Source organism: Homo sapiens, chromosome 2, assembly GCF_000001405.40.
Source record: "Homo sapiens chromosome 2, GRCh38.p14 Primary Assembly".
In the NCBI taxonomy this organism is placed as follows: Eukaryota; Metazoa; Chordata; class Mammalia; order Primates; family Hominidae; genus Homo; species Homo sapiens.
In genome coordinates, this window is record NC_000002.12 from 150,749,988 (window position 1) to 150,773,147 (window position 23,160).

The 23,160-nt window shown below is 37.4% G+C and overlaps 1 annotated feature.

Annotated features, from left to right (window-relative positions):
* Positions 545-1,060: an enhancer, noted in NCBI's record as "NANOG hESC enhancer chr2:151607046-151607561 (GRCh37/hg19 assembly coordinates)". NCBI's record gives its function as "activates a minimal SCP1, AML or CMV promoter by ChIP-STARR-seq in naive H9 embryonic stem cells {active_cell/tissue: H9 hESC(naive)}" and the evidence as "EXISTENCE:reporter gene assay evidence [ECO:0000049][PMID:30033119]".

The window sequence follows — 23,160 nt, forward strand, 5'->3', positions numbered from 1 at the left end:
CTTTAATTAAAATCTTATCACTTTAAATGTAAGAAGCTTGTAGTATTTTTCAACATAACCTATTTCCTGTTCTTGATGCCGTCTATATATATATGTGTGTGTATATATATATATATATGTGTGTGTGTATATATATATATATATGTGTGTATATATATATATATGCATAGATTTTTTTTTTTAAGACAGGGTCTTACTCTGTTGCACAGGCTGGACTACAGTTGCTCAATCTCAGCTCACTGCAAGCTCTGTCTCCTGGGTGCAAGTGATTCTCCTGCCTCAGCCTCCCTAGTAACTCTGATTACAGGCGCCCACCACTACACCTGGCTAATTTTTGTATTTTTAGTAGGGACGTGGTTTCACCACGTTGGCCAGGCTGGTCTTGAACTCCTGACCTCAGGTGATCTGCCTGCCTTGGTCTCCCAAAGTGCTGGGATTACAAGCTTGAACCACTGCGCCTGGCCACATATTTCTTGTGTACTAATTATAGAGCATAAGATAAATTGTAATCATATTTGTCTTAAACAGTCACTTGCCTATTAAGGAATTTTACTTATGTTATTTATTTTCTTATATTTACTCACACATTTACCATTCCCACCACTCTTTATTTTTTCCTGTATATCCTAGTTTCTGGATTTATGGGATCCTTTAGATGGAAGAACTTCCTTTACAATATCTGTTGTGTTGGTCTGCTGACAACAAGTCTCTCAAGTTTTGCTTATCTGAAAACATGCCTTCACATTTGAATGATTATTTCATCTATGCACAGAATTACCATGACAGTTCTATTAAGTGCTTCAGAGATGCCATTCCATTGTCTCCTGGTTTCTATTGTTTCTGATGAGAAGTTAGGCATAAATTGAATCATTGCTCCTCTGTATGTAATGTGTTCTTACCCTCTTGCTGTTTTCAGTACTTTTCTTTTGCTTTGGATTTCATCAGATTGGTTATCACATGCCTGTGCATGCATGCGTATATGCATAAGTGTGTGTGGTGTGACAATTCATCCTACTTAGCATTCAGTGAGCTTCTCAAATCTGTGGGTTAAGTTTATCTGTTAAATTTGGGGTAAAATTTGACCATTATTTATTGAAATAATCTATATGACTTTCCTTATCACTTTTTCTTCTAGGACTCCAATTGCATGATATTGTTCCACAAATCTCTGACATTTTCTTCATTTACTTTTCTCATTGTAACTCAGTTTGAACAATTCATCTTATCTTCTTTTTAAATTGACTATGTTTTTGTGCATGCTAGTCTGCTGTTCAGTCCATCTAATTACGTTTTTATTTCAAACATTATGTTTTTCTGTTCTAGAATGTCATTTCATTCTTTTATAGTTCCTATTTTCTCTCCAAATGTTCAATCTCTTTGCTCATTGAATCCATTCTTTCTTGTAAATTTTTTAACATATCAGTAATAAAGTTTTTGCATGCTATATTCATTTTCTACTGCTACTGCAACAAACCACCAAAAATTTAGTAGCCTAAACAACACAAATTTATTATTTTATAATTCTGGAGGTTAGAAGTCCAAGATGGGTTTCACTGGATTAAAATCAAGGTGTTATCAGGGCTACATTCCTTCTGGAGGAAGAATCTAGACATCCTAGGGGAGAAACTATATCCTTTCTCTTTACAGCTTCTACAGGCTGCTTCATTCCTTGGTTTATGGCCTATTCCTCCAACTTAACAGCCGGCAGCACAGCATCTTTAATTCTCTCTCTGACTCGGACACTCTTCTCAATGCCACTTTCGGTTATAAGGACTTTTTTGATTATATTGGATACTTTTCCCATCTCAAAGTCAGCCGATAAGCAACCTTATCTGCAACTTTAATTCCTCCTATAGCTTCTAGGGATTAGGACACTGACATCTCCAGCATTATTACCTCAGTTACTATCAATAGTTGAGTCTACATGGGTCTGCTCTTATTAACCACTTTTTTTCTTGATTAGGGATCACATTTTCCCACTTCCTTATATGTTTCATATGTTTTCACTGAGTTTTAGATATTGTGTATAAAGAAGAGGCTGAAATATAATTATTTTTTATTTTGTTTATTTTCCAGATAATTTAAGCTTTTCCTTCTGACAATTATAGTAAGTGGTTGATGATTAAAATTTTTTCAAAAGTCAAGTTGATCTGGGACTGAACCATAATGTCAATTAGATTAAGTTCACATTTTGTTAACCCTACCTGTACCCTCCTCCTACGCCACTACCACTCAGGGGCTAATCATTTTGGGTTTTTACAGCATTTGAGCCAGGTAGCATAGGGGATAGACCAATGTTTCAAACAGCTTTGGCTCATGTTTGGATTCAACTTTCATGGGTCCTAAAACCTAAACACCTCAAGAATGCATAAAATTGCATGAATTCACTTTGCTTTCAAGCTTCTCCTCTACTGCCATCTTCTCAGTGAAATTTTGACAAGGAGTGTGACAAGAGAATTGTCAATCCAAGTGATTTATTTTTGTGTTTAGAATTCATATAATAATCTCTTATGCCACTCACATTGTCTTTAAAGGTGTAGCTGATTTCTCCTTGTCCCTACAGTTTTTCCATCTGTGTTATACCTACTCTTTCACTCACATGTTCCCAAATAAAGCCCTCAGGTATAGAAGCTACAGTGGTGCTCCTCTTACTCATAAGTGGCTTATTCCTTTCTAGAATTCAGTTCACCAAGGCTTCACTGTGTTCTCTGCTAGTTGATAGCTGAAGAGTATAATATTTTTTTAATCCTGTTTTTTTATGTTGTCATGATGGAAACAGAGGTCTTTTACATATTTTCATATACTAACTGGCATCAAAATTCTTCTGATATCCATAGAATGTTGCTTCAGAAAAAGAAAGGCAGAATTTTTATTGCTTAATAACTACTTTGTTAAAGTGATCACCTATTTTTAAATGAAGTTTTTGCCAGTTATTGAGACTATACTTTGAGGGCCATGAAGAGTAGGAAAGAGGAAGACAGAAGATAATCAGAAACTAATCTGGTCATAAATTACTGATCAACTAGCAGCCAATTTATTAGTTGATGGTGCCAACAGAAAAATTAAGTTTTGATCAACACTTTCTACTGAAAATCTCCTCTTCTTAAAACACTTTTCTTTCTTTTTTTTTTTTTGAGACGGAGTCTTGCTCTGTCACCCAGGCTGGAGTGCAGTGGTGCGATCCCGGCTCACTGCAACTTTCGCCTCCCAGGTTCAAGCTATTCTCTTGCCTCGGCCTCCCAAGTAGCTGGGACTGCAGGTGCCCGCCACCATGCCCGGTTAATTTTTGTATTTTTAGTAGAGATGGCGTTTCACCATATTGTCCAGGCTGGTCTCAAACTTCTGACCTTGAGATCTGCCCGCTTCGGCCTCTCAAAGTGCTGGGATTACAGGCGTGAGCCATCGCACCTGGCCAAAACACTTTTGTCTTAAGGATATAGTAGATCTATGTAACAGCCTGTCGAAAGGGGACTCTGTTGTTTCCACTGAGACACCACTCAAGCCTCAGAATGAACTATTTCCACATTCTAAAGTGAAGAGCTAAATCTTCTATATAGGATAGGTAAAGGAAGTGGCCAAACACTCATTTTTTTTTTTATTCTTAACCTATTGCCCACTTTGAATGCATATAAGTGTCAAAGCTGAAGTGGTCAAGAAAAGAGACTTTTTGGTGAGAGCAGTCAGTGCCTGCATGTCCTTCCACTGCCCATTCCCATGGAGATGTAAAGACAGTACACCTTCTCTTCCCTCCCCTTAAGTCCAGTGGCAGAAGGGGTTTCAAAGAAACCATTCACACAACATGATATTTTGCCCCTTTTGTTTGAAGGACAACATGAACTCTAAACGCAAGAAGGTATGGCTTGGCCTAGAATAGCAAAGCTAAGAAAGACTGTACTGGGCACTAAGGTCAGTCCCATCAATGATTAGGTTAGGCCCTGTGAGTTTTTTGGTGGGCTAAATGGACAGATGGGATAAAGCTGCCATAAAAGTAATTTAAAGGAGACTATGACCAAGAAGCCATCTGGATGCATGATAAAACCCCAGTAGATAAATCTATTTTAGGAAAACAACCAAGTGTCCAACTTCTAAAATTGTAGTTAAAAGTGTAAGAATATAGTTATTCTAGTTGGGAAAAGGAGTGAGTCACAAGTAGGGTTTCTAAAGTGCTAGTGTTATTCCATTTTTTGTTTAGGGCACTGATTACCCATTTGCATTTGTTTTATGAAAACACAGTGATTTACCCCTTTCTGTATGTATATTATACTGCAATAAAAAGTTGTATTTTAAATTGCTGATTCTAACCAAGATTTTATTCAGAACCACAGAAAATTCTCAACTATATAATATTTAAAGGGATAGTAGGGTTAATATCATTGTACAGTACTGTATTAAATCCAGTTGACAAAATGACATTTCCATTGAACTTCAAATGTATTTACTGCAAACAGGAGCTTTGTTCTGTCAAAGCAATTCTCTCAGTCATGCTAAAACTAAATTAAATTAAAATATAAATTACATTTATAAAGTTTATTTCACTAGAATTTGGTCAAAAAGGGAAATAAAAACTAGCTACACAATAAACTGTTTACTTTCTGGTAGGCAGAATTTTAAGTTGACCTCCTGTGACCTTTGTCTTTGTAAAATCTATTCCTCTTAAGCATGGGCAGAACCTGCAAACTCAATGAGTTATCACTCTCATGATTATGTTATATTACATGACAAAAGGGATTTTTGCATATGTAATTAGTTTACTAATCAGTTGGCTTTGGTTAATCAGATGAGCCCTTTAAAAGCAGAGGATTTTCTCTGGTGAGTAGTGAGTAGCAGAGAGGAAGTCAGGTAGATTACAAGAGAGAATTGGAAAAAAGCTCGTGGCTTGAATATAGAGGGGAGCACATGGAAAGGACCTGAGAGAAGCTTCCAGAAGCTGAGAGCAGCCCCTGACTCACGGCCAGCAAGAAAATGGGGACCTCACTCCTGTGGCCATAGGGAACTGAATTCTGCCAGCAAGAATAGACTTGAAAGCAGATTTTCCCCTCAAGCCTCTAAACAAGAACTCGGCTCTGCCAACACTTTGATTTTGGCCTTGTGAGACCCTAAACAGGAAACTCAGTTTTGCCATACCAACATCTGACATAAAAAACCGTGAGCTAATACAATTGTGTTGTTTTAAGCTGCTGAGTGTGTGGTAATTTGTTATGTAGCAACAGAAAATGAATCCAGACAAGACATAAAGATGAGCTACACCACCAAGACTAATGGTGGCTTTTGGGAATGACCACCTGCCTTGGTATCAGAATACATAAAGCTCTAAAATTTCCACACTTCAAAAAACACTAGTGTCTCTCTTTTACTACTCAAAGGTCACCAGATAGGATAATACAAAAGTATGAACATCATATGTTGTCTAAAAAAGGTTTCTCATAAATCTCTACTTGTCTTCCTTTTCTCTGACAAGTACATTTAAATTTATAATCAGCAGAAAAAAATGCGACAATAATCTGGAATGACACTGGTTATTTAAAGAGCATTGAGACCATAGAAGTGGGAATTGCCCCTAAATAGTTGAAGATGCAGGGAGTAAATATTGTTGCTATATGACGGTGACTTATTAGAAGTCCACTCATAGAAACTGAGGATCTCTTTCCTAAGAGATTAAACATCTGGTTCTTCAGGACAAAGTTTGATATCTGTTATTACATTTGTATTTCTCACAGGTGTCGCAGTGTTAAATAATCAACATCTGCCTTCACTTGTGTTGAACAACCTTCTAGTTTTAGCTGAATTGTCTTAGAAGAGGACCTTATTGAAAATCCAGGAACACATTTTGTTTTTTAAGTTTTGAAAACATATTTTCTTTTAACATTAAGCTGTGGCATGTAAACAGTGGTCTGAAACATAACTGGACTCTTCGGGGCGTTGCAGCAAATTTCTCTGTTCACCTAACACTGTTTTCAACGCGCCCTCAAAACAGACAGCCTGGCAACTATGGGGTCAAGAACAAAGGTTATAGAGTCCAGCTGATATAGAGAGAAATGCCGACTTTACTGTTTATTAGCTGAGTTCATAATATCTTCAAGTCTGTTTTCTCATCTCTATAAGAAGAATTTCCTTGACAAGCCAAGATGAGGATAACAATTTTCTTTCAGAGCCATGATGACAATTATGTAACAAATAAATTCAGAGTTTATAATTATTCTAACCCAACATGTAGTGCTTATTTTTTATTAATATTTATTCTGAAATCTAATTGTTTTAATCTCTAGCTTATTACAAAATTCACCAAAAAATTCAGTTGTTCTTAAATTTTTTCTCTTGATGTTACCATTCATCAGAACACTTTTGCTTCTTTGTCAACAGTGCTTTACTCATCATTAAGGAATTAATACTACTAAAGTCACCAGACTGACTTAAGGACACTCTACAATGAAGCTTTGGTAGCTTATAGTAGATCTTAAAAAGGTCTTTTAAACACAATTCTCGAGTTGTTAATGGAGATATTTAGCACTTTCAGTAGAAGTTTATTCCTCCAGGCCAAAGGGACCACATTCTATTAATAGTCTGTATTTGGGTTGCTGTAACCTCTTTATACCAAATAACATTCAATAATAATCAATAATGATATGGTAGTGTTAATTTCCCAGGCTCTACAATGTCTAGCAAACGTTCTTTCTACACATGAAAACCATACTCATTATGCTGTACTTTTATATAAGAGTTTGAACTAGGCCATTCTGTATTTTATAAATTCAAAGCAAGACTTTATTATTTATTCTAAATGTGAGAGCCTAGCTGTAGAGGTGGGCAGCCCCCACATAAGTAATCTGCTGATTAGGGCTAGTATGCATATCAGAAGCCAGCAAACTCCAATTTGCATTGAATGCCAGCTGCATAACAATTTATCAGAGAAGCCCAGATAGGAGGGCAAAGAAATATCCCTTCCTTAATTATGAGCATGTGTATGCCTGTGCAAACCTGCATTTGTATGACCGAGCGTTCTGGGATAATAAGTTAATGCTATTAAGACTCATTACATATTCCTAATATGCATACCAATGCCTCTTACTAGGAATATGTTACATCCCAAGCTTGAAGTCTATGGTGACAAAGTCCAGTGAGAATGGAAAGAGGTTCAGCCACGAATGCCAGTAGATGTACTAATAAGGTTTTGTGACATTTTAGAAAAGATAGCACTTTTGATTATTGCACATATTAATTCAGTGTTAATGTCAGGTGATCTTGATTAATTATCATTTTTAAAAAGTTTCTGTTTTGGATGTAGACATCTAAATTTCTTGTGCTCATCTAAGAAAGAAAAAAATAAATACAAAGTGAAGAGCAAATTAGTGAGGGCCTACTTTGGCCTCAGACCTGTTTTATTTGCCTAAAATTCTAAATTTAAATGCCATTTGGTAGCACATGTACAGTCAGCAGCAGATCGTCTTTGTGTTCGATGTATTCATTCGCATTATCTGACTGGTCCCTGAAAACATTTGAGCTTGAGACTCCAGAAGTTCTCTTTGAGAGGCCAAACCAGGCAAGAGAATGTGACTCTGAATGTTTTGCCTATTTGCTATGTGAGACCCTGACAAAGTAGAAATTCAGGATTCATGTGACCTAGGAGACTGTAACACACTGGGAAGTGTCCTGATTTGGGAGACAGGAGACAGTGCTCCATTAAATTCAATGACTGGATCCAATCAATGATTGAATTCATCCAATCACTTAATAATTCATTCATTCAGATGACCAGCTTGTATTTTCTGCACCCCGGGTACCATTGTTGGGCTAAAACAATGAGCAATGATTATACTGCTTCCTAAGATTGCTGTAAGGATTTGAGCTGATAATGCCTTGGTTCTTCTTTTTGGATTCCTTTGCCTGCCTCTTTTTGTTTTTCTCTTGGTCAGCATCCCACCCATGCTTAATATTCCCTTTATGACTAGATAAGATGTTATTTAAAACTCCAAAATCAAAGAAAGAATTGATGTGATATTGGACAAGATATCCAGACTTTCTGAGCCTCAAGAATGTATTTTAGTTGAATAAACTGAAAACTCTTCTAGCTCTAAATGTTAGAATTCTATGATCATCTACATTATACCAAAATTAGTTTATAAAATAGAAAATAGTTATCTTCTAGAATTTCTAAAGCATGATATAGGAAAGTGATTTTTAAAAAATTATAAATTAACCTTATCAAATCAGAAAGTTTTCTTGTTCTTAAAACATTTCCAGTCCCCAAAGTCTATTTTGTATCCCCAAATTAAAAGGAGTTGGCATTAAGCCATTTCTAAATCAACCACACAGCTCTAAAATTCTATTCTTCTATGGTCCCATTTGGACAGTGTCATGTTTGAGCAGTTTCTTCAGAAGGAGAAAGGAATTACCATTTATTGTGCCAAAAGCAGTGTACCAGGCACTAAGCAAGTTTATTTATATATATTATTTTATTTAGTCTTCATGAAAGGCATGAGAGAGTAACAAATGGCCAAGAACCTGCAGCTAATAAGGAGCAAGTAGAGTTGAGAAGCCCTCTGCCAAGCTCCAAAGTCCTCGGTCCCCTGAGGAACACACTGGGCATGCATTTTTATTTTCACTGCTTCCTGCTCTCTTCCTTTATCCACAAAAATCTATTACTTAGGAACTGTTTGTTGACCCACAGCTTCACAAATTTAATATTCCTTTACTTATTTGACTTTTGCTGAGTGATTAAAATATCTAGTAACATAGAGCTTCATATCTCGTTTAAATAGTACACGTTGCTGTGAAGGGTAACTGACAAGTTTAAAAATTCTTTAATTTAGCAGCATTAAAATATGCAGTTCAGTTCCTGAATCGGTTCCTAAACACAATATCAATATTTCATTCTCTGTAGTTCTGTCATCCAGAAGTGCCTATTAACCAACACATTTGTGTTTTGTAAATAGGTATTATCACAAGATAATTCTGATATTCAAGAAATACTAAGGGTTTTTTTTTCAATCTTCAGTTTTACTCTAATAAGTCTAATTTGTCATACTTGAATAATATTAAAATTGTTAATGCATAAATGGACTAAGATAAGTCTGTAATAATGAAAATATGTAATTATACTGAGTCTATCATATACTAACTTCAGCAGACATAACATGAAACAGGAAATTAAATCCATATTTATGTTATACAAACACACAAAAAATTTTAATGACGTTTTTATCACTAAATTGTTGATATAATTAGATATTAAAATATTTATCATAAAACAAACATAATCAGTTAAAAAATTTTACATTAAGTATTTTTTTAACTAAGCCTAAACCTCGCCAAACGTTAAGTATTAATCATCATGAAACACCATCTGCAGAGCATAGCTTAAATAAATAAAAATGTCTCTAAAGCAAAATAGTCTTATCTATCCATGCCTGACTCCTACACATTAATTTAACTCCTACATCTCTAATTGAAAAGCTTAGCCTAAGTATTGACTGGTCAGAACATGTAAGAATTATCTAGTTAAAACATTTGGTTGTCAGAAACATTTATAGTATTACATTTTCAACTCATTTCAGTTGAAAAGAATCTCAGTATCAAAAGTTGTAGGATGGAAGATGATGTGGCAGAACAGAAAACAGGTAAGACAAAAAAAATGGATAAAACATTTATCGTGCTTCATTTGTAATACAAAGCAAGGGGCCTCATGTACTCAAACAAATGAAAGCCTTCAGATTACCCTGTGTGGCTCTGGAAGCTCAGCCAAGAGCTGTTTTCCATAATCTATGGTAATACACAGTTTGAACTGAAGGGATTCTCTAACCACTGAATGGCCAGATACCAACATCCTATATCATGACAGAGCCCAGATGTGGTCTTTCATTTGGTGGAGGAAAATAGCACAATTATTTTTAAGGTGTTCTATTTTACCAAAGGCCTTCTGATATGGTTTGGCTGTGTCCTCACCCAAATCTCATCTTGAATTCTAGCTCCCATAATTCCCACATGTTGTGGGAGGGACCCAGTGGGAGATAATTGAATCACAGGAGCTGTTTCCCCCATACTGTTCTTGTGGTAGCAAATAAGTCTCACAAGATCTGATGGCTTTTAAGGGGTTTTTCCTTTCACTTGGCTCTCATTTCTCTCTTGCCTGCTGCCATGTAAGACATGCCTTTTGCCTTCCACCATGATTGTGAGGCCTCCCCAGCCACATGGAACTGAGTCCATTAAACCTCTTTTTCTTTAAAAATTACCCAGTCTCAGGTTTGTCTTTATTAGCAGCATGAGAACAAATACAACTTCCCATCACTGCTCTACTCATGGTGTAATAAATGTATCAATCAGCACTCACACATTCATAACAGCCAGCGAGACTCAAAACCAAGTAGAAAAGTGCAAAGCCATTGAGTCTGTCCACAAGGCTCATCCTTCCCTCCTGCATGTCCTCTCCACCCAGCACACTAGCATCCTCTAGCTTCTCCCTAGTTTTACAAAAGCATCTTATGTCAGCCTCCCTCCTCCTTAGTCCTTTTCAGGTCAAGCTATATATTATACCTTATCAGAGGCACAGGTAGGTTATTTATTTATGCATGAATGGATGTCATGACACACTTACTTATTCAGTCTCTCAACAAACATGTGCTGAGTATCCATTTTGTGCTAGGAGCTGCACTGGACACTAGAAAAATATCCCCTCAGTAAACTCAGTAAACACAGTGGTAAGAAAGATTGGCCCATGCTCAGTCATCCACTCTTCCACTTTGTTGCATTTTAAGAGGATAATACGTAGGCTTTAGCCTAAAGTAATAGACTCTAACTGAGGGATTTTAAGCAGAAATATACATATTTTAAATAGCAGTGACTCCCTCAGAACTCTCCAAGCCCAGGGCATGCACCCTTTCTCTCCATTCAAAAGATCAGCTGTGAGCACAGCATACAAATTGTTCAATGACATATTAAATGGAAATTTTCCTGTAATCTTAGAATTTGAAATTAAATCTTAAGCAGGAGAAAGGGTAATAAATAACCTCACATTCTAAAAAGCAGCTGCTAGATACATCCCTGTGAATTTTTAAGGGTTGACAAAAATTAGTCCTCACCTCCAAATGCTCCAAAGAGCCTATGCAAAGAGCAGAACAGAAATTCAGAAATTCAGGGAGGGTCATTCAGATTTAGAATTACCGGGTCTTAGAAATACTTTGACTTTTCGTTTCTTCATGGGGTTGGGTAGAGGTACTCTCCTCTCACAAATAAAGGAAGGAAGATTCCAGAGACAATTCCTGATAATTGAAAAAGCAAGAAGAGGAGATATATGTTTCTCTTCCACGTGTATGATTACAACAGCTCAAATACCACAGTGGGGAAATCCTTGGGAAAGTTCGACCTGCTTCCCTTGAGTTTGGGAGGTACGTGGGCACTTTGAGACTGCTGCCTGCCTCTATCTTCAGAATTCCCGAGAAGGGAGATTGGCCGGAGCAGTTGCAAGGAAGGTGAGGAGAGAGGGCCAGCATGGAAGCAACCTGTACTCTCATCATTTGGCAGGTCCAGCCTGAAAGGGTACCATGAAAAATCCAAGTCATCTTGAAGGCACCTGATTCAATGCCTACTGCTACTGTAATGAATTACCACAAACGTAAAGGTTTAAAGCAATACAAATTTACCCTCTTACAGTTCCAGACATCAGAAGTCTAAAATGGGTCTGTAGGGTTGCTTGTCTTATGGAGGCTCCAGGAAAGAATCCACTATCTTGCCTGTTCTGGGTTGAAGAGGTTGCCTACATTCCTTGGCATGTGGCCTCTTCTGCCATCTTCACAGCCAGCAACATAGCATCTTCTCTCCTCTCTGTCCTCTGCCTCCATCCTCAAATCTTCTATGACTGATCCTCCTGCTTCCCTCTGATAAGAACTCTTTTGATTGCATTAGGCCCACTTGGATAAGCCATGATTATTTCCCCATCTCGAGATTCTTAAATCAACCATATCAACCAAAGTCCTTCTACCACATAAGGGAATATTAACTGTGTCTGGGGGTTATGACATAGAAAGCACCCAACCCAAAATGGGGGCTTATTTGGTCATAGGGACCCAAGCAATAAGAAGCTTGTAGTATACCATGGGCAAGGAAGGAGCATCTCAAGAGAGTCAGAAAGAACATATCCAAGTTAGAATTCTCAGTGGGCTTCCAAGGCATCATGTAAACATTGTTCTATGAAGGAGCTAATATCTAGCCCTTCACTTCACAGAGGGCAACGACACTGCATTCTAGCACCTCCAAGTAAGGTGGGACTTCCTTTAGTCTATCTTCTCCTCCCTTAACCCTGGAAGACCCAGGGGTAATGTCTGGGGTTGAAGTGAAGAACAAGGGAAAAGGAGAGAGTAAAAAAAGTCACGCACTCTGTGGTCAGTTAGGCCTAGGCCAACGGGAGGTAAGAAGCACTGAATTAAACGTGAGATTGAAATCTTGATTTAAACAGCACCAAAACTTTTACTACTCCAATATGAATTTTCGCTAACAAAACAAGACTGTTCTAATATTGGAACAGTATGAATTCTGCCTATAAGGCAATCGAGGCACAGGGAAAAGAAAATCCAACAGAGCATATTTGAAGAGTAAGACTGGAAAATAATAAGCCCTTTTCTATTTGTACAACACAGATTTCAGCCTATTCAGCAAAGTGGTTACAATGATTTTATGTACATTTGTGGAAGATATAGCTCAGTCATTGACTTTTGATAAGATATTTTTCTGTCTCTGGTTTCCTATGTGCACCTGCCTGGAAATTCTCTTTATGTCAGTTGCTGTGCACCTCCACTACTCCCACACTTCACAGCACCCTGCTCATTCCAGATTCTCATCCACTCCTAATTATTCGGAGCCTGTCTAATTCTCTAAATGCATTAACTGGCACTGGATCGACACCTTCTATGTTGTTCAGCAGTTGTTACATTTGCTTCTAAATAAATTATTTCAGCTTGGCATTACAGAGATAATCTGTCACTACTGCAAACTTGTGTATTTACAATATTAGAATCGCTGTCTTGTTATTTTTTCATTACTACTATATTTTCTGAGCCTCTCTCATTACCATGTGTATTGTTTCATTATTTACATTTTGAATGCTATTATCTCCAAGGCTGTCAGCAGAAGCATTCTGAGATAATGATGCTGTGAAAAGAGAATTATCTAAATATGGATCTTTCTGCTCATGCTCAAATAAATGATTGTCTAACTCTTCAGATGCTTCTTCTGAGTCCTCATTAAGACACTCATGGCTTGGGGAATTGTGGAGTATCAACTGCCTTTGTCTAAGGGTCTGAAGATGCAGAAACAAGACTAGAAATAGAGAAAGCCAATCAAGGCAGGAAGTGAGGAACTTTCTATTGATAGGAACAGGGGATGTAAAAACATCCAATGACATATGTATTTGACGACAATAGCCTTGAAAGAGAATAATCCTTTTTTGAGAGTCTGAAGGTGAAACAATGACTGAAATGAGTACGAAATCTTTTGCTTAGTTTTGTTGTTCTTATTTAGAGATCAATAAATAAATTCTGTTTCAAGTGTCAAGCTATTTTGCCTGTTTAAAAATAGACACGCCCAAGGGACTTTACCCAGGGCCCTGGCTCTAAATACCAAGTATACATCCATGCCTCCCAGATTTTTACCATTATCTCTGGCCTCTCCACGGGGCTTCAAGTTCAAATATCCAACTTCTAATTTTGACATCTATACCTGATGGTCTGTTGGCAACTCAAACTTAGCACGGCCAGTACAGAATTCTTTTTTTCAAATATCTCTTTGTTCCCTTGGCTCCATGTCACACAGTCTTAGTACAGGCCATCACTATATAATCTGTTGCTCAAGGAAAAGATAATAAATTGGCTGGGTGTGGTGGCTCATGCCTGTAATCCCAGCACTTTGGGAGGCCTAGGCAGGTAGATCACGAGGTCAGGAGATTGAGACCATCCTGGCTAACATGGTGAAACCCTGTCTCTACTAAAAATACAAAAAATTAGCCGGGCTTGGTAGCACGCACCTGTAGTCCCAGCTACTTGGGAAGGTGAGGCAGGAGAATTGCTTGAACCCAGGAGGTAGAGGTTGCAGTGAGCAGAGATTGCACCACTGAACTCCAGCCTGGGCGACAGAGTGAGACTCAGTCTCCAAAAAAAAAAAAAAAACAAAAAGCTAATAAGTTTCTCATGACTTGTCTCCTATTCTTACTCCTCATATCTAATTGATCATCAAGTCTTGTGGGTTTATCTCTAAAACCCATCCCAAATTCAACTACTTCTCTCCATTTCCACTGCAACCACCCTTGCCCAGGAAAGCATCATCTCTGAATGAGAACCACCTTCCAACTGGGAAGCCAGCTTCCACTCTCACTCCTCTGTCCAAAGCAGCCAGAGCAAACTCTGTAAGATGCATATTGTGTCACATATCTCTCCTGCTTAAAGCCCTAGTGGCTTCTCGTGACACTTGGAACAGAATCCATGCTCTTCACCATGGCCTGCATGGTGCTGAATGACCTGGCCTTGCTCCCTCCTGGACAGCACCTCCTCCCCTCTTCCAGCCACACTGGCATTCTTCCAGGTGAGCCCTGCCTCATGCTCCCTACACAAGCTGATCCTTCCTTCCAGAAAATTCTAGCTCCAGAACCACCCATGGAAGGATAGCTGCTTCTCCTCACTCAGGTCTCACTTGAACTCCTCAGGGAGCTCTTTCCAACTCTCCAGCCACTCTCCCTCATATCTGGAATTTCTTTTGAAACTATTTTATCCATCAATGTTTGTTTATTTATTATCTGTCTTTTCCAACTAGACGATAACTCCACGAAGGGAGAAATCTTGTCTCTCTTATTCGCCACTTTATATCTAGGGTCAAGAATGAGGCCTGGCACATAGCAGTCTCTCAATAAGTATTCATGGGTGATTGATCAGAACCCAAATCCCTCATGACCCAGTGTCAGGCCCACTGCCAGGCTTCTTAGTGATGGTAAATAGGCTCATCCTCGGCTATCTTCCTCCGCATCTGGGAAGATCCAAATAGGAAGTTCAAGGCCTGTGTAGCGCTGGCTGCTCGGTGCTTCTGCAAAGCCAGTTATCTCCAGTTCTGCCCTGCTATTTCATGCCTTGCCTATGATTATCACAGTGAGAGATGTGTGCCCAGCCCCTGTTCTAGCATGGAGAAGACACAACCCCGTTCTCTCTGCTGCTGGAGCCCAGACATCCTGCCCCCATCCGCTGCCTGGAATGCCCCTCTTTGGCAAATTCATCTCTCCTGACCTCTTTCTCCACAGATTTCCCAACTATAAGCAGATTAGACTTACTCTCCCCAGTTCCCATCAAGAATGCTATGTTTACTGGAAAGACAGAAATTTCTTAGTTTCAATTTTATTGTTTCCGTCCTTTTTGGCATCCCGTAATTACATGTTGCAGTGATTCTGTATAAAGTATAGCTACAGATGTTTGCTTATTTTTGAGGGGGGATAGATAAAAGAGAGGAAAGTGGGTGGCAGGATCTCACTCAAAAAATATTTACTGGAGTCCTATTTAGCATTCTTTACCATTTTAATGCCAATAGAAAAAAAAGTGTGCCCTTATCTCCTAAGGCTGATGTTGTTGCCCACACACAACCCATTGATTTCTCTACTGGTGAAACAAAATTTAAAAACAGCAAATAACCAATGCTGCTTTCTACAACACCACCAAGATCCCGGAGACGAGGCGATAATGTAATTAAGCAGTTGTCTTGAAAAAAAAAAACGAAAAACAAAATGCAATCCTAAATCATGCTTATGAAATCCATCACATAAGTCAGAAGATGGTTCGGTCATGTTTGGAGAACATTTAGTTAATATTGGCATATGAATAATACTGAATAATAATATAGAATGCATGACTAGTCTATAAATACCAATGAAATTTGTTTCAACAACTTACAAATCTATCAACTATCAAAAAGTAATTTAAAAAGATGTATTGGACTGAAATGTTTGATTAATCCTGAGCTTTTTAGACAAATATAAATTGTTTTGCAATAAAATTACTGCTGCTAACATATCATCTTTAGTTGAGCACTTACCGTGGGCCCGACACTGTTCTGTGCTTCTTTTCTTCTGTTTACTCATATACTCCTGAAAATCTCCTGTGAGGGAGATTACAAACCGTATCTACCTTCGACAGACAAAGGATTATGAACACAGAGAGTTTAAGCCAGGCCACTGGGGCTCAGCTGTCAGCAATAAACCGGGAGGGGGCTGGGGGTTGAAACTTTCTCTCACCACCAATCTGTACCACCTGTACCCTATTCTGAGTAGTGCAACCGGTGATACTTATTAAGCCTTCCCACTGTTCCATGTGCTAGGTAAAACACATTCCAGGTGCTATACCATCTCATCTTCCCAATGATGCTTGGTAAAAGAGCTATTCCTATAGCCCTTGTATCTATCATACTATCATAAAACTGATGATAGTATGATTTCATGGAAAGTTTCTCCCATACAGCTCACTGCTAGAAACAACTTTTATGTTTTGTTAAATTTTGCAAAGCAGGATAGCCCCTGGGAGCTCAGTTCACACTTGTGTTTTCTCAGTAGTCCCACACAAGGGATCTAGAAGTGCCAGCTACATGCTGACTTCCATTTTTTTGTTAATGTGACCTCTATTTTTTTCATCTATAAATATTTTAACTATTTTTTCTTAACTGAAGTAGGCATACTTTTAAGATGTTGCTGCTTAATTTTCTAGCTGTACAGGCCTATTCAGGAGATTTCATTCTCATTTCAGCCCAAGGTTAGAGCTGAAGACTTCGAGTCAGTCTAACCCTACCACAGGAAGTACAATAGCTCAGTCTATGAGGGTTGCAAATTATATTATAAAATATGAGTCCGTTCTTTCACTAAATTAATAGGACCACATCACAGGAAAGCCAATAAAGGCCTTTTAGAGGCTCCAGTCAGTGAATCCTTTTCAGTGTGATGCCTATGACATTCCTTTATTGGTCCACAAGAAACAAACATAATGCAGACATCAACGTTATTGCAATAGTAGAGAGATTTCTGGAGCCAACAGAAGAGTGCTTAGAGTTCCAGCAAGTAGCAGTAACAGGGTAATTTAGCAACAATCTCCATGAAAGACAAAACATACATGTGTAATTATGCAGGTGAACTCCTTAATACAAAAACTGGGAATTATTAATTATAATGAAATAAGGGTTAACACTGATAACTTGATACAGTAGACACTGTTCTCAACATTTGAAATGCATGATTCCATATTAATGCACAGTGGGGAAATACCATTATTATCCTTCTTTTACAGATTAAGAAACTGAGGCTTAGGGAGGTCAAGTAAATTGCCCAGGGTTACGCAGCCAGTAGACAGCAGAGCAAAGCTTTGAGCCCATGCAGTCCAAATCCCGCATATTTTTACTCTGCTGTGTTTTGTCTACCCTCAGCATCCTAGAATGGTAATACAACACAGGCTGACCACAGTAAACTATATGCAGTTCCCACAGCACAGAAGCAGGTACCTTCCCACCTTGGCAACTTTTACCCAGGGAATTCTCTGCCTGGGATAGCTTCGTCCCCTACCTCTGCAGCTTCATATTCACTCTCTAAGATTCAGCTTAAGTGTCACTTCTGGGAGGTTGCTACTATAAGAGCCTTCTGCCACTGACACGGTTAGATGCCCTTTCTATGGCTTAACATGCATGATGTATGCAATACAATGTGTGCAATAAAGGAATAAGTAGTCAAGTAGGCTACCTGGGAGTGCAAACAGTGAGGAGAATGTTGATATCTAGAACTACTGGAGTTTTATAAAGAAAAAGAAATCTACATTCACCTGACTGTGGTTAAATACCTTTGATGTTTTGAGCTACTGACTGCCTGATAATGTTCCTATTATTTACTACTTTACAAGCCACAGGGGCGTAAGCTGCATTGAGATAGGCATCCAGTACTTATTTATTAGGGCCTTTTGATAGTCCGTGGTTCTTTATTTCAAGCCTCATTTAATCACAACAAACAAAAAAATACTCACATTATTAAGGTAAGCTAGCTCACACTTGTAATTGAAGCAGGAGGATTGCTTGAGAACACGAGTTTGAGAACAGCTTGAGCAACACTGTGAGACCTCATCTCTACAATAAATTTAAAACTCAGCCAGGTGCAGTGGCATGTGCCTGTAGTCACAGCTACTCAGGAGACTGAGGTGGGAGAATCGCCTGAGCCCACGAGATTGAGGCTGCATTGAGCTATGATTGCACCACTGCACTCCAGCCTGGGCAACAGAGCGAGACGTTGTCTCCATAAATAAATAAATAAATAAATGTAAGCTAAAAGTTTTCTTCCTTTCCTGGTGTAAGAGGAAAGCAACCATATGGAGGTCTCTGGATAATAAATAACTCCTTCACCTTTTGCTTTTCTTGGCAAGCTTGTGAAATATTTATTGCATTTCTTTCCAAAGGCTTTAGAGTATCTTTCTCCTCCAGAGAATATTATTCTGTGACCTAATGCATGTCCCACCCTTGCCTACTTCAGCTGTGCTTCCATCTCCTGCCCCTTCACCTGACCCCTGTCTTTCAATGCTGCCTTTGGGTTAACTTCTTCTGACAATTTCTGTTGCCTTTCATTTAAGCTGTTACACTCCATATGGCTTCTCTTTCTTTGATGTGGCCCAGAATATATTACAAACCACAGAACACAAACTCTATGATGAAATAATTCACCAAAGATTTTCTGCACTATTTTACCCAAGGCAGAAGTTAGCACAAGTTAAAAAAAAAAAAATGAAGAGCATTTAGACAAAGAGAAGGAGAAGGAGAGACCTCCATCTGCACATCACTCTTATGTGTAAAAGAACCACATGGACAAATGCTAGTGCAAACAGCCATTGTGGATAAACTCAATGACAAAATCCAGCCAAGTCAATCACTGGTAGTCAGTGGGTCTGATTTGGGATTCAAATTTGAAATTCAATGGTAAATTGAACCAAAGCATATTAAAAAAATAAAAGATAAAAAAAAAGAATTTCAGAACTAAAAGTAAGTAGAACCAGAAAATGTTTTGAAGAAATTATTTACCCATTCCCACTCAATGTCCAAGGGCAGTTAAGCAGCTTCAAGAGAAACTGTCCATCTTCAGTCAAGCTAATTGGGTAACAATACAATGGAATTAAAAATTATTCAACAGCCTTTGTGTCAGATATTGGTATATGTCGAAAATGAAATGGATTACTCAGTTGAAGGTTAAAAGTTCTCCAGGTATTTGCAGATTTAGTTTTGCATACAGTAAAGTGAAAAAGAGGAGGGAAGGAGAGAGAGATAAGAGTGAGAGAGGGAAAGAGAAAGGAAGTGAGAATAAAGAAAGAAAAAACTAGACTACAGGCTTTCCAGAGATCTTGTTCAATTCAGGTTCTGCAGCTGAGCTGCAGAATATCCTTGAGCAAGAGTTCCAACATTTATGATCAAACTTGTTCATCAGTTAGGCAAGGCTAATTAGGACCATTCACCTTCCCTACCTAAAAAGCATAGTTCATATTAATTAACTTGGACATTTGAACAGCCTGTGCTCTGCACTAGAAAAGGTGAAAGGATATTTCATGGTTGTTTAGCAATTATCTGTGAAATTATTTAAGTTGTCAGAAGAACCAATACATATCTGCCCCAGGAGACCTCCCACGCCATCACATCAGCCACATGTTTCTTGTTTGTAAGAGAAAAGCATTCCCTCTTCTCTCTCTCTCTCTTCCACTCTTTTATTCCTTGTCTCTTTTCTCTTAAATATTCTTGTCCTCTTTTATGAGACTGTCATGATCTTTTTTGCTGGACATTATCCTAAATCTTCTAAAGACTAAGCAACCAAGTCCGGTAAAAATTGTTCTCCACATTCTGTTCACCCCGCCCCAAGCCACTATAGGCACCTCATGTCTTTTTTCCCTTTTTGTGGGCTGACCCATATTTTCTAGTCATGTTGTATTAGCAAGGGAAAGAGTTAATGCCTGCATTCTCAGATCTTTTCTATTAATCCCATGAAACAGATTAACATAGATGTGTTTTTATATACCATTGGCATGTAATTCTGGACAATTGAAAAGAATAATTGAGGGTGACTTTCAAATAGTGTCTTATGTTGTTTTGTGTTTTACTAACACAGGGAAAAAACAAAGGATGCTAGAAGGTTATATTCTAAAATAAATATGTCAGGAAACTATTTCACAGGGATTAAGTTATTGTGTTGCTTTCTGACACCATTGTATTCTTTTCCCTCAAGAATTTGTGAAAAGTAGCCCCACTATGACTTGCAAACATGCTGCTTTCCTTGACTTTTGGATAGCTCCTAAGATTTGTTTTTTTTAAAGGTTAGGTTATACATCAAAAGTGTACTACAAAGTTATTGGCTTGATCTTTGAACCAGTACAGGTTATCTGGGATCTAATTCATAATTTGTAAGTAATATATAAAACAAGTTGAGAGAAATAGGGGGAAAAAAGAAAGAAAAAGAAAACTTTGCAAAAAGCACTACTTAAAAAAAGTTTTATGTAAAGTTTTCAAATATTGCTAATTAACTGAAGGCATTTTAGAGTAGGCCAACTGTAGCCACAGAAGGTAGTTTTAGAAAGTAAGTTCAAAGAAATCTGAAAATTATTTAAGCTTTACATCTAGAGATGGAATTCCTTTAAAATGTTACTAGAATTCATTCACCAGGTTTATTCTGTTATCTAATTTTTCATTATAAAAATAAACATAAATTTACCTGTTAGTCAACATTTAATTATGAATTTGGCTCCTTTATACCAGGTACTATAGTAGCTGCTGGGAATAAGCTAAAAGATCATCTTTTACCACAGGAGTTATGTTTAGCCAGGGTGAAAGACAATCACCTGAGCACTTTTAGGGCTCTCACAACAGATAAATGTAATTTTTGTGATAATCCAACTCACAAAATGTATACTTGAAAATTATGATTCATTGGAGTTAGAGAACTTTCACATCATCCAAAACATCCAAATTAGCAACAGTTGCTTGTGAGCTGGCAGACATTCTGCTCTGGTTATTAGTTGGGAGAACTCTATTGATGGACATTCAGATGTGCAAACAATCCGAAACCCCCCACAATAACATCCGCACTTGGAGGAACTCTGGCTCTTACTGTAGACTTTACTGTAATTGTAGCAGTTACAGTCATGTGGTTAAGGGGAAAAACTGGCAGAATTCCGCATAGCATTTGTAGCCCCATCAATCTGAAATAAGAGAATTTTTCAACCACATTGCTGCTAATTTCTAACCTGCCCACACCGGGTATAATAGTCCAATGTTAAATCTAAGTAACATACTTGGAGTTATTAATACCAGCTTTGACTTCAACCAATATAATGACTTGAGATTATTGTTGATGTTTCTTGAAATGGAAAAAATATTAATTAAGTCAGGTGGCAGACACACAAATGTGCTATTATGTTTCCATAAAACATATTTCCATGGACCATATTATAAATACCTAACAGGCAAGCTGTAACTTTAATCTTATATATAAAGCTAATTATGAAATTGTAAATTAAAAAATAATGATTAGCAATCCGTTATGCATTAACTATGCAAAGCTATGTCCGTTAAATCTGATATATTTTACTCCTAGGAAAGTTCTCATCAGATTCCATTAACTCTTATTTTAGAAATTTCTAACAAGTTTAGGTAACTAGTTTACTGCCCAAGAGCAAAATGTAAGTAATAAGCTTGATATAAGCAGGATCTGATTTTGAGACAAGCACATTAATGGCAGCAAATTGCAATGAAATAAAGAGGAATGTGAGAGAAGAAAAAAAAGCTTTGGAAAGCAGAAATCAGAACTCCAAAAGTAAACTAGTTTTTCGCCATTAGGGAGAAAGGTAAACAACTTTTTACATTTCATTAGCCTCTGAGGACAAATGATCATAAAATAATAATCACCAAAATGGTTAAATACAGTAATATATTGTGAAATTCATTTTTAAAGAATTTAAGAAAGTAAACATTGGTTAATAATTTGAGAAAAGTATGTTTTCATTGTTAATAAATTGTGCTTATGCAAAATACTTTGTTTTCTACTAATGAACATCTTCCTGTAAAAGAAAACCCATTAGATTAGAAATAAAAAGGAATCTCTTTAAAGACCATTTATGTCTTCAATTACAAAGTACTTATTAATTGAACCTCAGTTTATCTCTGTGTTATTTAGCACTTTTTAATTTCCACCTAGTATCACAATTATTAATATTTGTTTAGGATTGTCCTGTTAGATCATTAGCTACTTGAAGATAGAGAGTGGATATCAGACACCTGAATTCATCTTTGTATCATATGCTCTCCTTCCTCACTCTGCAAGGCCTAAAAGGTAGAAAGTGCTCAATAAATGAAGAAAAATAACTTGTAATGCCCACATCTACATCCTCTATTCTTTTAATGACAATACATAATAGTATCAAAACTTAAATTTGGATAACACTGTAAAAGGTACATTTATATGAAGAAATCATTCAATATGATTTGAACTCAAATAAAATTAACAGAAAGGTTAGTCAAATGAGTGAATGAATGAAAGTATGAATTATTGAATATTCTTCAAAAATTACAGATAAGCAGAAACTATTGTTGCCTATTAATAAATTTCCAGAATGTGTGGGTTGAAATTATTTATTATATCAATTACATATTATAGTAATTTTACATTAGGTAGATTACAATTTGCATTTTTTTGTTGAAGAAAAGCTTAAAATTAAAACAAAGCTTTACTTTAAAATGCCCCCTTGGAACACTTATACACTGTTGGTGGGAATGTAAATTGGTTGAGCCACTGTAGAAAGCAAATGGAAGATTTCTCAAAGAACTTAGAACTATCATTGGAATGAGCAATCCCATTACACAAAGGAATATAGATCATTATACCAAAAAGACACATCCATGTGTATGTTCATTGCCATGCTATATCCAATAGCAAGGACATGGAATCAACCTAGGTGTCCATCAGTGGTGAACTGGATAAAGAAAATGTGGTACATATACACCATAGAATACTACAAAACCACAGAAAAGAATGAAATCATGTCCTTAGCAACAACATGGATGGAGCTGGAGGCCATAATCCTAAGCGAATTAATACAGGAACAGAAACCCACATACTGCGTGTTATCACTTACAAGTGGGAGCTCA